The 17,779-nt window shown below is 35.1% G+C and overlaps 1 protein-coding gene across 1 annotated transcript in view; it reads left to right on the top strand.

Moving 5' to 3' along the window:
• The window catches only part of MYCBP2 (MYC binding protein 2), a 282,438-nt gene that overhangs the window by 171,160 nt on the left and 93,499 nt on the right, over positions 1-17,779 (top strand). Inside the window, exons 47-52 of the mRNA NM_015057.5 lie at positions 4,986-5,201; positions 9,718-9,773; positions 11,375-11,490; positions 14,992-15,089; positions 15,772-15,888; positions 16,599-16,739. Coding sequence (NP_055872.4) covers positions 4,986-5,201; positions 9,718-9,773; positions 11,375-11,490; positions 14,992-15,089; positions 15,772-15,888; positions 16,599-16,739 — 744 coding nt within the window. The remainder of the gene's footprint in view (positions 1-4,985; positions 5,202-9,717; positions 9,774-11,374; positions 11,491-14,991; positions 15,090-15,771; positions 15,889-16,598; positions 16,740-17,779) is intronic.

Here is a 17,779-nt window from a genome sequence, read left to right as displayed (position 1 = left end):
GAAAGTTTGTTTAAATGACTTGTTTATATTAATTAGTCCCCAAGTGTCCAAGTTACACCTGTTTTTTTTGTGAGTTTGTTCTTTACATTTTGCTACCTGTTACGGGGACTCAAAGGAGGGATAAGAAAGTATCCATCTAAAGAGTGCTAGACACATACAGTGAAGCCCCTCAATATGTATTGATTGAATAAATGCATGAAAGAATACATTTTTAAATTTTGTGTATAGTTTTGAAAGACTCAAGTACGTTCTGTGTTTGGTATTACTGAAACCACATTTTAAAAATAACACTCATTAAGTTAGAAATATATGAGTTTAGATTGTAAAAGAATGAGGAATTGAAATAGTTGTATACCATATTGATGAATATAGAGTTTTTAGGATACCTCTTACCTGAAATATTAATAATAATGTTTCAGAGCATATTATACATAATTATTTGTGATTTAATCTGTTAATATGAATATCTCATTTAAAACTTTTATTTCTGAAAAAATTATATTGAATAAAATTTTATATAGGCAGTCCCCAGCCCTTTCCTCCTTCAAAGTTGTCTTATAGAGTGATTGGTTGTTTGAAGCTTAGAGCTGATTAAGCCACAAAATCCTTTTTGCTCATTGGGTAGCTAATTTTGCCTCAATATTATTTTCAGTAGAACTATTTCAACTACTTCATGCATTCTTTCATTTATAGCGTGAAGAAGTACAATGCCAATGTAGCATCTTACCTAAGTAAAAAATAAGAACACATTGCTTACATGACTTAAGACCAGTAAATAAAACTGTATGGAAAAGGTTTCAACCCTGATACTAAATCAAAATCAGTCTTTTAGCAGTATCTTTCAAATATTTGGCCATGATCCATAGTCAGAATTTTTATTATAACCCAAAGATATAAATATAATATATGATGGAATAGTGTCTATGTAATAGCATATGTTAAGTACATATAATATACTTTATATATACATACACACATACATACATAATATGCTATACTCTGATGCTTTCTCTATCTTATTTTTTAAGGCAAGTCATACCCTTCACAAACTGAGTTCATGCCTACTTGGAATTATTCTATACAATGCAAAAAGCATCACAAATTATAAGAAAAAAAGATTTAAAAATAAAGTTATCCTGATAGTGATATGAAAAAAATTACTACTCAAGGACAGATTTTTGATCACAGTACAATACACGTTAAGATGTTGAAGGGCTTGTATATTGTGTATTCACTGATGAATTTCTCAATGTAGTGAGTTGTTAAATCCAATCTTTGAACCCTCAAGATTAAGTTTTTTATTCATGTGACAACATTCTAATACCATGTTCATACTGTTACGCTTCTGATATTTCTTTAGTTGTATTTTCTTTCTTGTGTTTTCTCCTTTGCACCTTTTATTATCTCTTTTGATATCTGGTATGTTTATATCTTGCATTTGAAAGTCAGACTTCATCTTTTTTTCTTTTCATCTTAGAGTTCTTTTTTTAACCATATGATGGATCTGCTTTTTTTTTTCCTCTCTTCTTCCCTCTCCTCTTTCCCTTTCACCTCCTTCTCCTTTTTCCTTCTTTTCTTCCTCTTCTTTCTCCTCCATATATTTGCTTCTCCTACTATCTTTCCTTGACTTAAACCTCTTACTCAGTGTGCTCTAAATTCATGTCAGATTTATCCAATTTAGAAACTTTCTAGAAAACCACTCTAAATACTATCTAGAAGAAGTGATTTGTGCTCCTACTGATGTTTAATGTATTAATATCATATTATATTAGCTGGAAACAAAATTAATTTAACCTATTTTACTTTCAGCCTATTAGTATATGAAGTCTTAGGAGCACTTTAGACTGTTCATAAATTGTTAAAATCTTTATGCAGTAATAGCTAATTATTTGAAGCATAAAAGTTGATTTGCAGCTAATATTTCAATGAGTTCCAAAATGCTTTCAAAAGCAACAAGTGTTATTGTTATAATTTTTTACTTATAAAATGACTGTTCCCTACCTGTGATAAAATGAGTTAGAACTAAACACACATATTGTACCAATGTCAATTTCCTGGTTTTGGTTCAGTACCATCAGTGTCTGACAGTGTTGGATAAAATGTAGCCATTGGGGGAACCTGAGTGAAGGGTACATAGGACATTTCATCTATTTTTGAAACTTCCTGTGAATTAAAAAAAAAAGTTTATTTTAAGGAAATCTTATTTATTGACAAGAGAAAGTCACATAGGAAATACAAGAATAACTTTTTTTTTAAGTAACACAGTTTGTAAAAGAAAGCAGAATGGTTATTCTATAATGTCTCAGTTTTCTTAAAGTATAAAATTATTCAGTGATTTACTTCAAGGTTCATGGTGCATACACACATAGACTCTAATGATAATTTATTAAATACTTAGGGTAAATATAGTTGCTTACAGAAAGGTTAAATTGAAATAGTATGTATAAAAATAGTGTCTGTAATTTAATATCAAATATGTTTGAGACAGGAGAGTTCCCTTGACCCCTTTGTGGGACTTGGGACGTGGGTGTCGTGTGGCTCATTTACTTGACTGCTGCACTCAAACCCCTTGCAGGATGGCGAGCACTGAGGCAAGCAGGTGCCAGGGCCCAGGCAAGCACCTCTGGGCTCCAGCCCCACAGCAGCATCTAGGAGTGTGTCACAATTAATGCTTTTTTAGCTTTGTTGTCTGTGGATGGCTAAGTGTTAAACAGCTCAGTGAAGAATCAGCATGACAGCCTTTTTGGGTTCCTGCACCCAGTGTGTCCTGAATTCTTGTCTGGCATTCAGGAAGAATCAGGTCATATGAATGGTTTGAAACGCGATGAATGCGTGAATACAGCAGATTTTTTTTTTTTTTTTTTTTTTTTGAGACAGAGTCTCGCTCTGTCGCCCAGGCTGGAGTACAGTGGCACGATTTCAGCTCACTGCAAGCTCCGCTTCCTGGGTTCACTCCATTCTCCTGCCTCAGCCTCCCGAGTAGCTGAGACTACAGGCACCCGCCACCACGCCTGGCTAATTTTTTGTATTTTTAGTAGAGACGGGGTTTCACCGTGTTAGCCAGGATGGTCTCGATCTCCTGACCTTGTGATTCGCCCGCCTCAGACTCCAAAAGTGCTGGGATTACAGGCGTGAGCCACCGCGCCCAGCCACGGCGGATTTTATCAAACGGTGGAAGTGGCTCTCAGCAGAAGGGGAGCTAGAAAGGGCATGGTGTGAGAAGAAGGTGATATTTCCCTGAAGCCCAGCCGTCTCCAGCCATGCTCCTCTCCTAAGTGGTGCCATCTGAGGTTAAGCCGCGCGTCTCATCAGTTGCTGCTTCTCCTCTTGGTATTCGCCACTTGTCTCTTTGCTAGCTGAAGTCTGGGATTTATAGGGGCATAGGGTAGGGGGGCAGGGCTGGCCAAAAAGGCAACATTTAGGCGGAATACAAGGATAAACTGTTCTCATTTAGGGTCATGGTTTCCAGGCTTGAGAGTGGGGCCTTTGCCAGGGAACCACCTTCTCCTATCCAGTATATCCCTGACTCCTGTCTGTATCATCTTCAGATTTTTTAATTGTTTAAAGTTTAAAGCTTTTTATGCTGGCACATGTGTTTGAGTTGAAATTTTAACCATATACCTGTAAACTGCCATTTTTTAAATATAAGAATGGGTTTTTAATATTTCCAGGGGTTTGTGTCAGTCCAAATACTGATCTCTTGTAACCTCACCTGAAGATAGTGGTCACTTAATGGAACATATTTGTCACCTGTGCCTAACATTATATAAATAGCGAAAGTCTCAAACTACTGATTCCATAGAATCGCGTTGTTAAGAACAATAAACATAAAGACAGTCTGTAGTTCTGAGGTAGCTCTCAATTACTTAAAAATACTATCACTTTTATCTCTGCACTTTTTCTATTTCTGTGACAATTCTGTTGAATTACCTGTTCTTGCCAACCACAAAACTATTGTCTGTAGGGAGCAGCAGAAACTTTGAGTAAAGCTCAGAATGGTGATACCTGCTGAAGAACTAAAGTGGTATTCAAATTGTGTGTACATTTGTGGTTGCCTAGGGGTCAAGTGTTTTTCTGCCAATGCATAAACAAATAAAAACAATGTTTTCTTATAATTTCTGGGAAATATTTCTAAAAAGTATTTTTCAGAAATAGTAGTTAGTAGATGAAATAGTAGAGTTAGTAGATCAAAGATAGTCCCGTTTTGTTGAAGAAATTGAGTTGCAAAGTTATAATTCCTGGAAAATATATCTAAAAGGTATTTTTATAAGACAATTTGTATTTTCAGTATATTAACATCCATTAACGAATCTGTTTTTTGCATCTATACTGTAGAGTTAGTGGACGAAAGATAGTCCCATTTTATTCTTAAAGAAAGTGAGTTGCAAAGTTTAATTATTTAATAGATTGCTTAAATCAAATGTTGATGTTGGTGATAGGGCTGTCTAATAATATTCTTTCTTCACCCGAGTAAAGAAACATATTTGGGCTTTAGGTATAAGATTTGTTTTATTAAGTGTTAATTTTTGAAACTTCTATAAATAGAGTACATTTTCTTCTGTAGAACAGTGCAGCTCAAACTGACATTAGTGCTTTAAAATGTGCTGAGATTGTGGGAAAGCATTTACACTTGCATTACCTGATAAAATAATTTGTTAGTCCCTGCAATAACTTAATGTAGATTCATTCCACTATCTTTTCCTGTACTTTATTAGTGGTGCATTTGTTTTTATGTTTTGATATCTCTGATTATGTATTCCAAAACTATGAGGCCTTGTTTTTACACCGTGTTCATGGTTCATATTGTCAACCCATCTTGAGGTCATTTGAACTCTTTTCAATAAGCCTTTGAAGGGAATGCCAGAGACAGACCAATGCTAACATAAAGTATACATAATTATGAGTTTATAATAGTAAGTTGCTTATTTTGATGTCAGTGACAATTAAATAATAATGGTATTTGGTTTCTATAATACCATGTTTAGGTGGAAGTGAAAGCTGTCCCTGTTTCTCAGAAAAAAATGTCTTTACAACAAGATCAAGCAAAGAAACCTCAAAGGATTCCTGGCAGTCCTGCAGTAACAGCTGCATCTTCTAATACTGACATGACTTATGGAGGGCTGGCATCACCAAAGCTAGATGTTTCATATGAACCAATGATAGTGAAGGAAGCTCGATATATTGCCATAACAATGATGAAGGTAATTTATTTTACTTATCAGAAAAATTTTAGTTTTCAGCATTTGTTTATTTAACCAACATTTCAGTGATTCAGATGCAGACATGAAATTGTAAGTCCAAAGAGCATTTGATGGATATTAAATTTGCAGCAACACTTATTAAGATGATGTTATCCTGTCTTCAGAGAGGATTTTCATTGGTTTTTGGCAGATGTCCAGAGGGGATCACCAATTACAGATCAAGTTAATCGAATCAGAGATACAGATGGATTAGGCTGAGTTTCAGTTCCTGTGAAAGTACTTGTCTACTTCTGACCAGGAACAGTGGCCCACACCTATAATCCCAGGGCTTTGGGAGGCCAAGGAGGGAACATCACTTGAGGCCAAGAGTTCGAGACCAGCCTCAGTAATGTAGTGAGACCCCATCTCTACAAAAAAATAAAAATAAAATAAAATTTCTAAGTACTTGTCTATTTGCAGTTTACTATTCTTGCTAGAATGTATCTCTTCAGGGTTTTGGGGTTTACCTATGCCCCCTTCAATTTTGGGTTCTCTCAAATGCCAGATGTATCTCCTAGAACTCTTTGGGATTTTTAGCTCTCTAATACCTTTAGACATTTAAAAAATATATATTTTGGATGTTTTAGTTATCTTCAGAGGCAATGTTAATCCGAATTATCAAGGTAGTCATTATTTGAAGCTGAAGTTTGTAATTTTGGCATTTTCAGAGAGCAGTGGTGAGCCATTGAAGGCTTTTGGGTAGAGGAATGGCTTGATTAGATTTGTGTTTTGTAACGATTGTGGTGGAATATGGACAGTGTAATTGGGCAGATGATCAAGAAACATGACTTGGTTTTAGTCTCTTTAGGGGACTATTGACTTAATTTGGTGAGATATGCTGATCAGTTGGACTAGTGAGTTGTCAATGAGGATAGATTCAATAGAATCAGTAGAACCTGGTAGCTAGTGGAGGTGGAGTAAAGAAGAAAGGTAGGAAATAAAAGATGAAATTCACATATTGAGCTTGTGTCCAATTGATAATGGAAGAGGGGCAGGTTTTGGTTGAGAAAGATAGCAGATTCAGTTTTGGATGAGGTGAGTTTTAGATACTTCTGAAATACCTACGTGAAGATGTATAAAACAAAGTTAGATGTACAGACCTGAGTGATCACAGTCTGACCTCAAGAAAAGGATTCAGGAATCATTAGCACTTACATTACTTATGAAGTCATGGGAATAGATGATACCTTCTATGGTGAATGAAGACAGAAGTTCCAGGATAGGATCCTAAGAAACACCAATATCACTGAGTCTCAGACTCTTCTCTACATCAGAAGCATCTGGAGCACTTACTTAAAAAAAAAAAAAGATTTCCAAGCACCCAGAGATTTAGATTCAGTGGGTTTGGAGAGAGGTTCAGGAATTTACCTGAAACAAATATGCAGTGATTCAAATTCAAAACCTAAACTTTGAGAAATACTGATTTACAAGGTAGATAAGAGAAAAAGAAAGGAAAAGGAAAAACGATTCACATTGGTAAGAATACTAGCCAAAGAAGCAACACATAATTAAGGGAATGGCTGAAGTGAGTGTAGATAAGCCTTTCAAGATGTTTGACTATAGAAAGAACCAGAGGAAATGGAATTGAGTGAAGGCTTTGGAGTATGGGGTCTTATTAATAGAGATAGAGTTACATATTTGAGTGCTGATTAGGAGGTAATTGAGAGAAAAAACAATAAAGATACTCCGAATATAAAAATAGAATCTAGAGCTCAAGTGGTAGCATTGGCCTTAAATAGGAGGAGGAGTAGTGCTTGTTTCATTCTACCAGAAGAAGGAAAAGAAAGCTTAATACAGATGCTAGTAAATTTGTAGGTTTTGCAGCCAAAGGAATTATTTAAAACAGTAATTATGTGTTTTGGGATGGAAATGGAAGTGATGAATCTTAGGGTCAAGGTTTTGAAACAAAGCGGATAAAATGAAATTGTTATTCTAGAGATTAAAAGAAAGCACCGATCAGAAAAGATTTATTAGATGCCTTTGAATAATCAGTTGAAATTGAAGATTATTTGTGAATAACAGTGTGAGTCATATGAGCATGGATAAAACAATCATTTGGATGGATCTAGCATTAAAATTTTGCTAGACCAGCAAAAGAACAGTGGAACAAGGAAGTTAAGTATATGGTAGCTAAAGAGAGGACAGTGGAACCTAATTTAGTTTGGAAGGGAAGAAATTTCAGAGTCAAGGAAGTAAGAGGGACTAGACGTCAAAGTAGATATAAGAATAGTTATTGAGGTAAAAAACTGAACAGGCCATTTTATTTTGATTTCAGAGACAGAACAATTCTGAGTAATGTCACAGGTCTGTGACTTTTGGTGTGAGTGGCTGGAAAAAAAGTTGAAGTTATTGAGGTTAAAGAAATCAGGGAATGAGAAACTAGAGTTCTAGGTGAATTGTCCACTGGCTGTTAAAGAATTCTCTTCTCTCACTTTTTACTCACCAAATTAATAATCTCATTATGAATTCTATATCCGAAATAAATATTTGTCTCATTTTTTAAAAAATCCATCTTACACATTTGGCTATTTTAGTATCAAATTTTAAAATTATTTCTACTATTAAAAAAAAAAGCAAGGCTAAAAATTCTTCTCTATTCCAACACTTGCTTAAGGAATTTAGTTTCTAGTCTCCTTACCTCCCTAATCTTTTAGTTTCCTATGAACATGCTTCAGTTTGTATAATTTCTTTTGCAAATTTTGTTACCACAACGGAATGCAATATTTCAAACATGTTCTGAGTAGCCTAGGTTTAGAGCAGGTATGGAATACCATTCCCAAACAGTATCTGTGAAATGTTAATTCAGGTCCCAGGAAAGGAAATTTTCCTTATCAACCATTCACAGATACTATGTATTCACTCAGTAGTGAGCCAAGTATTGTAGAGGATGGAAAGATGAAATATGGTCTCTTCTTTCATTACTAAGTGTGTTAATAATATGAATTTGAGGGAGAGTGATGAAATAGAAAATACATTGTACTGAAAGTCTAGAAACATGGATTTCCTTTTCTCACCTTTGTATGGCTAAAGACTCAGCCTTAACTTGCGTTTTTCTCATGTGTAACTTTTGAGTAGGTAAAGTCAGCTAGATCATTTCTAATTCATTTTTATGAAAACAAAAAGGGTAGAGAGAAGGAAGGGGGCTTTGAGTTTGCTTCCTTTTACTGTAAGTACAGGAGGAGTTAGAAGTAGATGAGCAGTTGGACATCTTGACCTGAACCTTGAAAGATAATGATTTCTTTGCTAATGTTGCAGGCATACAGAAGTATTCAGAATAATGTGCCAAGTTTCATGTACCTACAGCCCATTTTTGTCTTTACATTTTACCATAATTGTTTCAGGTCATTTTGTTATTTTTTTATTAAGAAACAGATTGCTACAGGTACAATTGAAGCCTGCCTAAACCCTTCCTCAGACCCATTACCACCCCTTCCTTAGAGGTAACCACTGCCCTGAGTGTAGTGATTCTCATTCCTGTATATATTTTTAGGCTCTTACTGAATACAAATTTATTCATAAGCAGTATATTTTGGGTTGTTCAATACGTTTTCCAGAAGTTTATAAAATAATATCGTATTGTATGTATCATTTTGCCAGATTTTTGCTTAATGTTGTTTTTGAGGTTCAGCCGTGTAGCTATAGGTCATTCATTTTAACTGCTTTAAAGCATTCCATTGGGGATCTATTCCATAATCTGTCCATTCTCCCATTGATGGACGCTTATTATAAACTGTACTGAAATAAACATTCTGTATTTGTCTCCTTTTGTACATGAGCAAGAGTTTCTGTAAGATACATACTTAGAAGTGGAATTGTTAAGTTGTAGGGCATGCACAACTACAACTACATTAAGTATTGCCAAAACTCACACTCCCACGAGCAATGTATGAAAGTAGCAGGTGCTGCATGTTCTCCTCTGCGCTTGGTTCTTACCAACACAATTTGATGACCATGATGTGATTTATTTTAGTTTTGTTTTAATTCGTATTTTCCTCCAAGTTTAGTTAAATAACTTTTCTAGTCTTTATTGACCTTTCAGATTTCTTCTTCAGAGAATTGTCTTGACTGTCTTTTTTTGTTGTTGTTTATCTCTTTTGTATGGATTTATTCTCTATATGTTATGGATGCATATCACCTTTGGGTTATACGAGTTACAAATCTCCTTCTCCAAGGTGGAAGCTTTTCCTTTCTGTATAGTATTTGTTTTGGAAAACTTTAAAATTTTAATGTACTCAAAAGATGTTATCTGTTTTTTTCTTTTGCTTTTTTTTTTTAAGTTTTGGTGTTTACTTTTGGATCTTCAAACCTTGTAGAATTTATCTTTAATAAATGGTCTAAAGTAGGTAATTTTTTTTCTTTTTCTCCTATATGTATAACCAGTTGTCTCACAACCATTTATTGAATAATATATTACTCTGTTAATTGAGAATGTTTTTAAATGATTTTACGATTGTTCAGACTGGTCTCTTTCTTAAAGGTTTATGAAAATTATTCATTTGAAGAACTACGTTTTGCATCACCAACTCCTAAGAGGTAAGGATCGTTTTCTCAAAGTATAACCAAAACATGTGTTGTCAGCTGCTTGCAACTAAAATCATCCTGCATTTCAACTTTATTTTCTATAAATAAATACTTTATAGCATTTTTCTAGGTTGCCGATAGAGATGTCATATAATAATGTATAGATTTGCAGAAAGAATGTGTTTACATTCAACTGTAATACTGCCAATATATTACATAATACTACCTACTAGTGAAAATAGGTATGTAAAGTAGATATCTAGTATGTAAAAATGTTTAAATTGACTTGTTTAGGGTTGATTAGTTTGTTTTTTGTTTGTTTGCTATTTAAAAATTGTTCCTTTTCTCCTTCCAATGAATTGTGGAGAGATTTCAGCATGTGGTATACTTGTATTTGATTGTACTGTCTTAATTTTTCAGCCCGTAAGTAATTCTGTTAACTTCAGATTTAAGGACTTTTTTTGAGTTAATATTTTATTTGTTAGGAACAGTACTACTTAAAATAGAAACTTGGAAAAAATAATTAGATGCATTATACTTTGGAGAGATCACCTCCATAGAATTTAGAAAAATCTCTGAAGTGAATCTGAGATAGCAGAATTATGTATAGGCTGGAAATACCAGTTTGAAACTCATGGGGAAAATAAATTTGGGAATCATCTATATTGAGATGGCATTTAAAACTGAGGAATGGTTGTCACCTAGATAGATGGCATAGGTAGAAAAAAGATGACCCAGACCCAAATCCTGGGGCATTCCTTAAATTAAACGGTAGTCAGAAAAGGGAAAGCAACAAAACACTGACAAAGAATGGCCAGTGAGATAAGAAAAAAGCCAGGAAAATGTCACAGAAGCAAAAAGAAGGAAGTATTTCAAGATAGGAAGAGTTGTCAGCTATCAGATGCTACTGAGAGATTGCTGAGGATGAAGTGACCATTGAACTTGGGGACGTGGTGGTCATTGGTGACTTTGACATCAGCAGTTGTAAGGAAATGTTGGAAACAAAAGCCTAATAAGGATAAATTGTGGAAAGGAAGTAGAAGTGAGAGAATGGAGTTTGATATAAATCGGAGAAGAGATGTAAGACCTTATTAGAGGGGGTTGTAATACCAAAGGGAGGTGTTAGTGAAGATTCTAAAGTTTGTGTGCTAATCGAAATGATTCACTAAATTGAGAGTAATTGATGATGCATGAGAGAGAACAAGGTGATTGCAGCATAAAAATGTTGAGGGAATAAGATTCACAGCACAAGGGGAGGGACTAGCTTTGGATCAGATCCAGGACACTTCCTCCATTCTACCATGAGAGAAGGCAGGGGAAAGTAGGTTTATTAATCACATTGCAACTTTGAGGTTGTATCTGATTGCTTATTGTCTCACAGAAGAAAGAGGTGAGGTCATGATCACCTGAGAGTTAGGAAGAGAGGTGATGCAGGTTTGAGGTAAGAAAGAAGTGAAATTCAAGCATTTTGGAGAGTAGGCAAGCGTACTATGGCAGGGTGGTAGGATTGCCAGGAGGTATGCAAACAAATTAAATGTTTGCTGAACTATCGTAATGATGTTGACTGCTTAACCAAAAGTAAAATTTCCAATATCCATCTTATTTCTTTTCAGACCCAGTGAGAATATGCTGATCCGTGTCAATAATGATGGGACTTATTGTGCAAATTGGACTCCAGGGGCTATTGGACTCTACACTCTTCATGTTACCATTGATGGCATTGAAATCGGTATTTTCTTTAAAGCCATGAGCTACTACTTACTTCAAATAACTAGAGTCAAAATTATTTTTATCTTCTAGTTTTGCCCATTAACTTGCACTAGACATATGGATAGGTTTCATAACTTATTTGAGGCCTTGTTTTCTCTTTCATAATGAGTATTTAATTAGTGCATTAACATTTTGTAATAATTTCTGGTGTCCGCCCAGGCACTGTAGCCCTCATGACTCTCTCCCTCCATTTCCTGATGTTACTAGTCAGGTGTGCTCTCTTCCACGCTGCTGTTACCCTGTCTCTCCCCTGTGGGTGTGTCTGTGCCTCTCCTGACTGTGAGCAGAAAGCATTCATGTTTGGATCTTCCAGTGTAGCTCAGTGCCTGGCACATAATGACAGCAAATATGGATGAATGAATGCATTTTTAAATCGATCATTGTGTTAATCTGGGTTCTCCAGAGAGACAGAACCAATAGGATATCTATACAGTCATGTACCTCATAGCATTTTGGTCAGTGACGAACAGCGTATATAATGGTGGTCCTATAAGATTTTCCTGTACCTTTTCTATGCTTAGATATGTTTAGATATGCAAATCCTTACCATTGTGTTACAGTTACCTGCAGTATTCAGTAGGGTAACATGCTGTACAGGATTGTAGCCTAAGACCAATAGGCTGTACCATATAACCCAGGTAATCTGTACCATCTAGGTTTGCTTAAGTCCACTCTGATGTTTGCACAATGATGAAATTGCCTGGTGATTCATTTCTCAGAACATTTCCCCATCCTTAAGCAATGCATGTCTATATTAGATATATGAGAGGATTTATTAGGGAAATTGGCTCGCACAATTATGGAGTCTGAAAAGTCCCATTATGGGCCACACCTGCAAGCTGGAGATCCTGAGATGCAGGTAGCCTCAGAACCAGGGAAGCAGATGATGTAACTCTCAGTCTGAGGCCAAAGGTCTGAGAATCCAGGAGGGCCACTAATAATAAGTCCTGGAGTCTAAATGCTGGGGACCCTGGAGTTCAAATGTCAAGGGACAGTAGAGGAAGTGTTTATCCAAGCTCCAAAAAATAGAAATACATTCACCTCTCCTCTGTTTTTGTTTGCTCTGTGTCCCCAGCTGATTGGACAGCGCCTGTCCACATTGAAAGCAGATCTTCTCCACCTACTCCACTCACACTCACACGCCAGTCTTGTCTGGAAACACCCTCACAGACGCAAAAGTAATGCCTTACCAGGTTTCTAGGTATTCTTTAATCCAGTCAAGTGGACACCTAGAAGTAATCATCACAACCATTAACTTTGAAAAACATATTTCTTTTGTTTTAGGCATTAATCTTTTCTTTACTTTTAAACTGTCTGTATAATAGGATAACAAGGAGAAAACTCTAGTACTTATCAGTGTGAATTTCTTGTAACATTATTTTTCCTGATGCTCCTCAAGGAAAGGGGTTTCTGTGATCAGATAAATTTCGAAAACCTGGTTTGGGATGAGTATCTTTTATCTGAAATGCTTGGCACCAGAAGTATTCTAGATTTTGGACTTTTTCTGATTTTGGAATAGTTGTATTACAGTTACCAGTTGAGCATCCCTAATTCAAAATTTCAAAATTCAGAATGCTCCAGTGAGCACTTTTTTTGAGCATCATGTCAGCACCCAAAGGTTTTAGATTTTAGATCATTTTGGATTTGGGGTTTTCAGATTAGAGATGCTCAACTTGTATATGGTAGTCTCACTTGAGACATTCACACAATCTACATTAACATATTAGGGATTCTGAGAAGTTCTGAAATCAAGAAACTTGTCTGACTATGTTTAATCCTTATCGTGGGACCCCTTGCAAGTGGAGAAGAGAGAAACAGGGTGGAGATAGTAATAATACCAATTAATATTTCACCAAAATATTTGGGAAACCCTGCTTTAAGTAGTTTGCTTTGGCAGTGGAGGTAAAGAGGTACTTTACATTGATGTAATTGTATGTTCTCATACATTAATGTAACTATATAGACTCAGATATATCCAGTTCATCTGTACCATTCTAGAGACCTTCACCAGCAGCCTTTGCTGCACTCTTCTTTATTTCAATATATTCATAAAGCCTTTAGTTCAGCAAATGTTTTTTGGTTCTGAGCATACATTTTCCTGGGTAAGACAATTCCTGTCAAGTGTTAACACTTTAATGAGGATTGTGAAAATAAAACACGCAAACAAAAATCTTATGAAGTAGAATATAAGTAGTGACACACAAGACATACAAATTACAGTAGGAATTCGAAAGTAGAAATAGCCAAGAATGACATTGTGAAAATTTTCTTTTCTCTAAAAATTCTGGTAAAATTTCAGTAGATAGAGTTTTTTTCATCATCTTATCTAATAGTGGGGATGAAGAAAACTGATACAAATTAGATAAGAAAAATCCACTTATATTTGTTTTTTGGAATGAAGCTGAACAAAAATACTTGCTTACTTAGAATCATCCATTTTCTTCCATACTCAACTTCCCTGCTCTTCTTCCTAAGTTTTCTCCGATGCCATCAATGGGCTGCGACCTTGCTTGACCATAGACAAGCAGAGATAATAATTCACTAGAATAGTTATAATAATAATAGCTAGCATTTATTGTGCATTTAATATATATCTAAATTTTCTCTATGTATACTTTTTTTTTTTTTTTTTTGAGACAGAGTCTCACTCTGTTGCACAGGCTGGAATGCAGTGGCGCGATCCCTGCCCACTGCAACCTCCACCTCACAGGTTCAAGCAATTCTCATGCTTCAGCTTCCTGAGTACCTAGAATTACAGGTGCGCGCCACCAGGCCCGGCTAATTTTTGTATTTTTAGTAGAGATGGGGTTTCACTATGGTGGCCAGGCTGATCTTGAACTCCCGACCTCAGGTGATCCGCCTGCCCCGGCCTCCCAAAGTGCTGGGATTACAATTGTGAACCACTGCGCCTGGCCCCTTGTACATTTTACGTCATTTATTTCCTACAACAGCTCGGTGAGTTAGATACTGTTATTTTTCCCATTTTATAGATGAAGAAATTGAGGCACAGAGAGTCAAACAGTTAGTGCGAGATATTGGAGTAACCAAAGCAGTCTAACATGAGAACCTCAGCTTCTCACAACCATGCTACATTGTCATAGAGAGGACTGGTAGAGATGATGAGTGGTATTCTGATTGGATATTGTCAGATAAGATTTAATTCTCAAGGGTTCTTTTTTTTATTATTTTCCATTTTTTCTGTATCATTTCATATGTTCTAGTTAAAGATAGGGAGCCCCTTCTTTTCCTTGACATCCTGAGACATTCCTTTAGAATCTCAGGGCCATTTTTAAAATATTTCTCTTGTTTAGCCTATTAAATATCCATCACCTTAAAAGGACAGAAATCAGATATTTGTGTTAATTTTTAAAAATAGCCTGTGGATGTTTATAAGATTAGGTTTAAGGATCTTCCTTCTCTTTTTTTCTCAAATGTTACAGTTCTCTGATTTTTCTGACAGATGCTGGTCTGGAAGTAAAAGTAAAAGACCCACCAAAAGGGATGATACCACCAGGAACTCAGTTGGTCAAACCAAAGTCTGAACCTCAGCCTAATAAGGTTAGGGCAGAATGAATTGAGAGCCGGAATCATTCAATTTTTACGTTTGTCACTGATGCTTCAAAATGGCCAGTAAACATCTAACATTTTACTTGATTTCAGGACTTGAATTCTAAATATCCCTAAATAAATTTAGAGAGTAGTTCATGGTAATATTTCTAAGTTGTAGCATGTGTACTTCTTTATTTGGTACATATTGTATTCTTCCTGCTGTGGAACATTTACAATGAACAAAAGTCTACTGAAATTAAGTGTAAAGTTTGCAAGGTGAAAATGTCCTCTACTGTCAAAAGAAAAGTTAATTTCTGAAATCTAAAGAGTAAGTACAGGCATTTTGGTAAACTGCATGTTAAAAAAATGAAATATTGGTAATTGAATTTATTTTTCTAACAGAAAGAAATGGTTTTTATCCTTCTTAACACGTATCTTCAGTATTTAGAAATGAGTTAAAATATATATAATTGTCTAAGCTTTATTTTCAGTAATACACATTTCAGTGCTTAAAAGTTCTGTTGTTAGTGTTGTTATACTGTTATTTGCAGAGGGAGCCTCTCTACAAATAATTCTGGAACCTTATTAAGAATTACGATACTTTCAAACCTGCTTAATTTTACTTCTTGCTACTTGTAAGATCTCTATTCTATGTTCTTCCTACCTCACTGTTTATCTTTGCCTTTCTCAGGTTCGAAAATTTGTGGCCAAGGACAGTGCGGGGCTTCGCATCCGTAGCCACCCTTCCCTTCAGAGTGAGCAGATAGGCATAGTGAAAGTCAATGGAACTATCACTTTTATTGATGAGGTAATTGATAAAGGAGCTTTTGGTAGTAAATTTTGGACAGAAAGTTTTTGCATTGTTTGCATAATAATAAGGTTACTGAGTTTTTTGTCAGAATATGTTTTAAGCAGTTTGGGAAATATTTTAAAACTATTTTATAGAATGTGTTCATTGAGTTTCAAACATTTCATTTATTTTATCATTAAAAAATGACTAAAATTATATTTTGAACATGAAAAGAACAATGTTCGACATAGTATTCAGAACCTGTACATGTATTCACTGAAAATGGGTATAGTTCTTCATGACATTTTAAAATGTTGTTTGTTTTGAAATGTGTTTCTTACTGCTTTAACTTTGGACAGTATATTTTTCTGGTAATATAACCAAGTAACTTCTGTTTCTTAAAATATAAATATAAGGGAAGGAAGACTCATATTCCTTTGGGAAACATCTGATTTTACTGTTTATGTATCTTAAAGTGTGGTTTCCTTGTGTTTTTATTCCTAAGTGAAATTGTTTTTACAGTCTTGCCACATGAATTACCATATTGTGTTGGCACTCTTTGCTGCTTTTTTTTTCCCTGGAGGGTCTCTCAGACTTACTTTCTGCAAAAACTAGATGCTTAATCTGCACATGCACCATCATTTTTCTGCTTTGCAGACTTTCAGACCTTGCTAGCCTCATAGGACTTACAGGAAGGCCTGGCTTGTTTCTGTTGCTTTTTTCTATAGATCCATAATGATGATGGTGTGTGGCTGAGGCTGAATGATGAGACAATAAAGAAGTATGTCCCTAACATGAATGGTTACACTGAAGCCTGGTGCCTCTCTTTTAATCAACATCTTGGCAAGAGTCTTCTGGTCCCTGTTGACGTAAGTAAAAGGTGGTTTTAAAAAGCATTATAGATACACGCTGTTTGTTTTACAGAGCTTTCTTTAATTAAGGCTTTTCAGTTCTGAGGTAACCCACAACTAAGTAACCTTTACTTTACAATTTCTTGAATTCTTAAGGGCTTCTGTGTAATGAAAGTGAAGTTTGGCAAGGTTAAGGCCCTTAGTGCAGATTATGATCCATCACAGATAGGCAGGAAGTAGTAAATTTAATTAATTGCTACTTAATTAAAACTACTGAATTCCTTTCAAAGAGGTAGAAAATGAGAGTGGTTACATTTTTTTCTTTCTTATTTATACAGCTGTGTGGAATGAATTCCAAACTAAAGTTTATGAACTCAGAATTATACATTCAAAAACATGTATAAATGTATGTTATGTTCACATTTTGCAGATAGTTCTGTGTGTTCTGTCTAATTTTGACTCTCTTCCTTCTCGGCTTATAATACTATTATTTAGATTTGTGGTGCTCCGTTGTATTCTAGTTGAAGTTAAATCCTAGTCTTTGAGAGAATTCATTGTACCTCCTTGTTGAGTATAGTAGAATAGAGCCAGTGTTCACAAGATTGCTACTTCATGAAGTATAATAATAACCCACACTTCGTTTTATATATTAACCAGGAAAGAATGATTTTTCCTTTTTTCATTACCATCAAATGTGTGTGCTCTTTAGGATAGAGCTAATAAATAGCACGGGTAAAATTTTATTTAAAAACTTAGTATTTTAAACAGTTGAATTTCTTAAAAATCCGTTTATAAAGTTAGCTTATTGTATCAAACCATTCAGTATATTCCATTTGACTTTCTCCTTGATTGTCCATAATAATGTTCTCCAAAGCAGTAGTTTATATAATACAAGACAATTCTTTGGTGAAGAAAACATTGGAATTTCTATTTCTATTTATTGATCTCATTCTTTTTTATATGCTTTTGTGTATGTTTTATAATAGCACAGTGGAGACTGTATATAGACAGAGAGCAAGAAAGAGAAGGAAGATATGTGATCAAGAAGATTTAGAGTG

The sequence above is a fragment of the Homo sapiens genome, chromosome 13 (genome assembly GCF_000001405.40).
Source record: "Homo sapiens chromosome 13, GRCh38.p14 Primary Assembly".
NCBI lineage: Eukaryota > Metazoa > Chordata > Mammalia > Primates > Hominidae > Homo > Homo sapiens.
The sequence above is the reverse complement of the archived record's forward strand: the minus strand, read 5'-3'. Positions and strand labels throughout refer to the sequence as shown.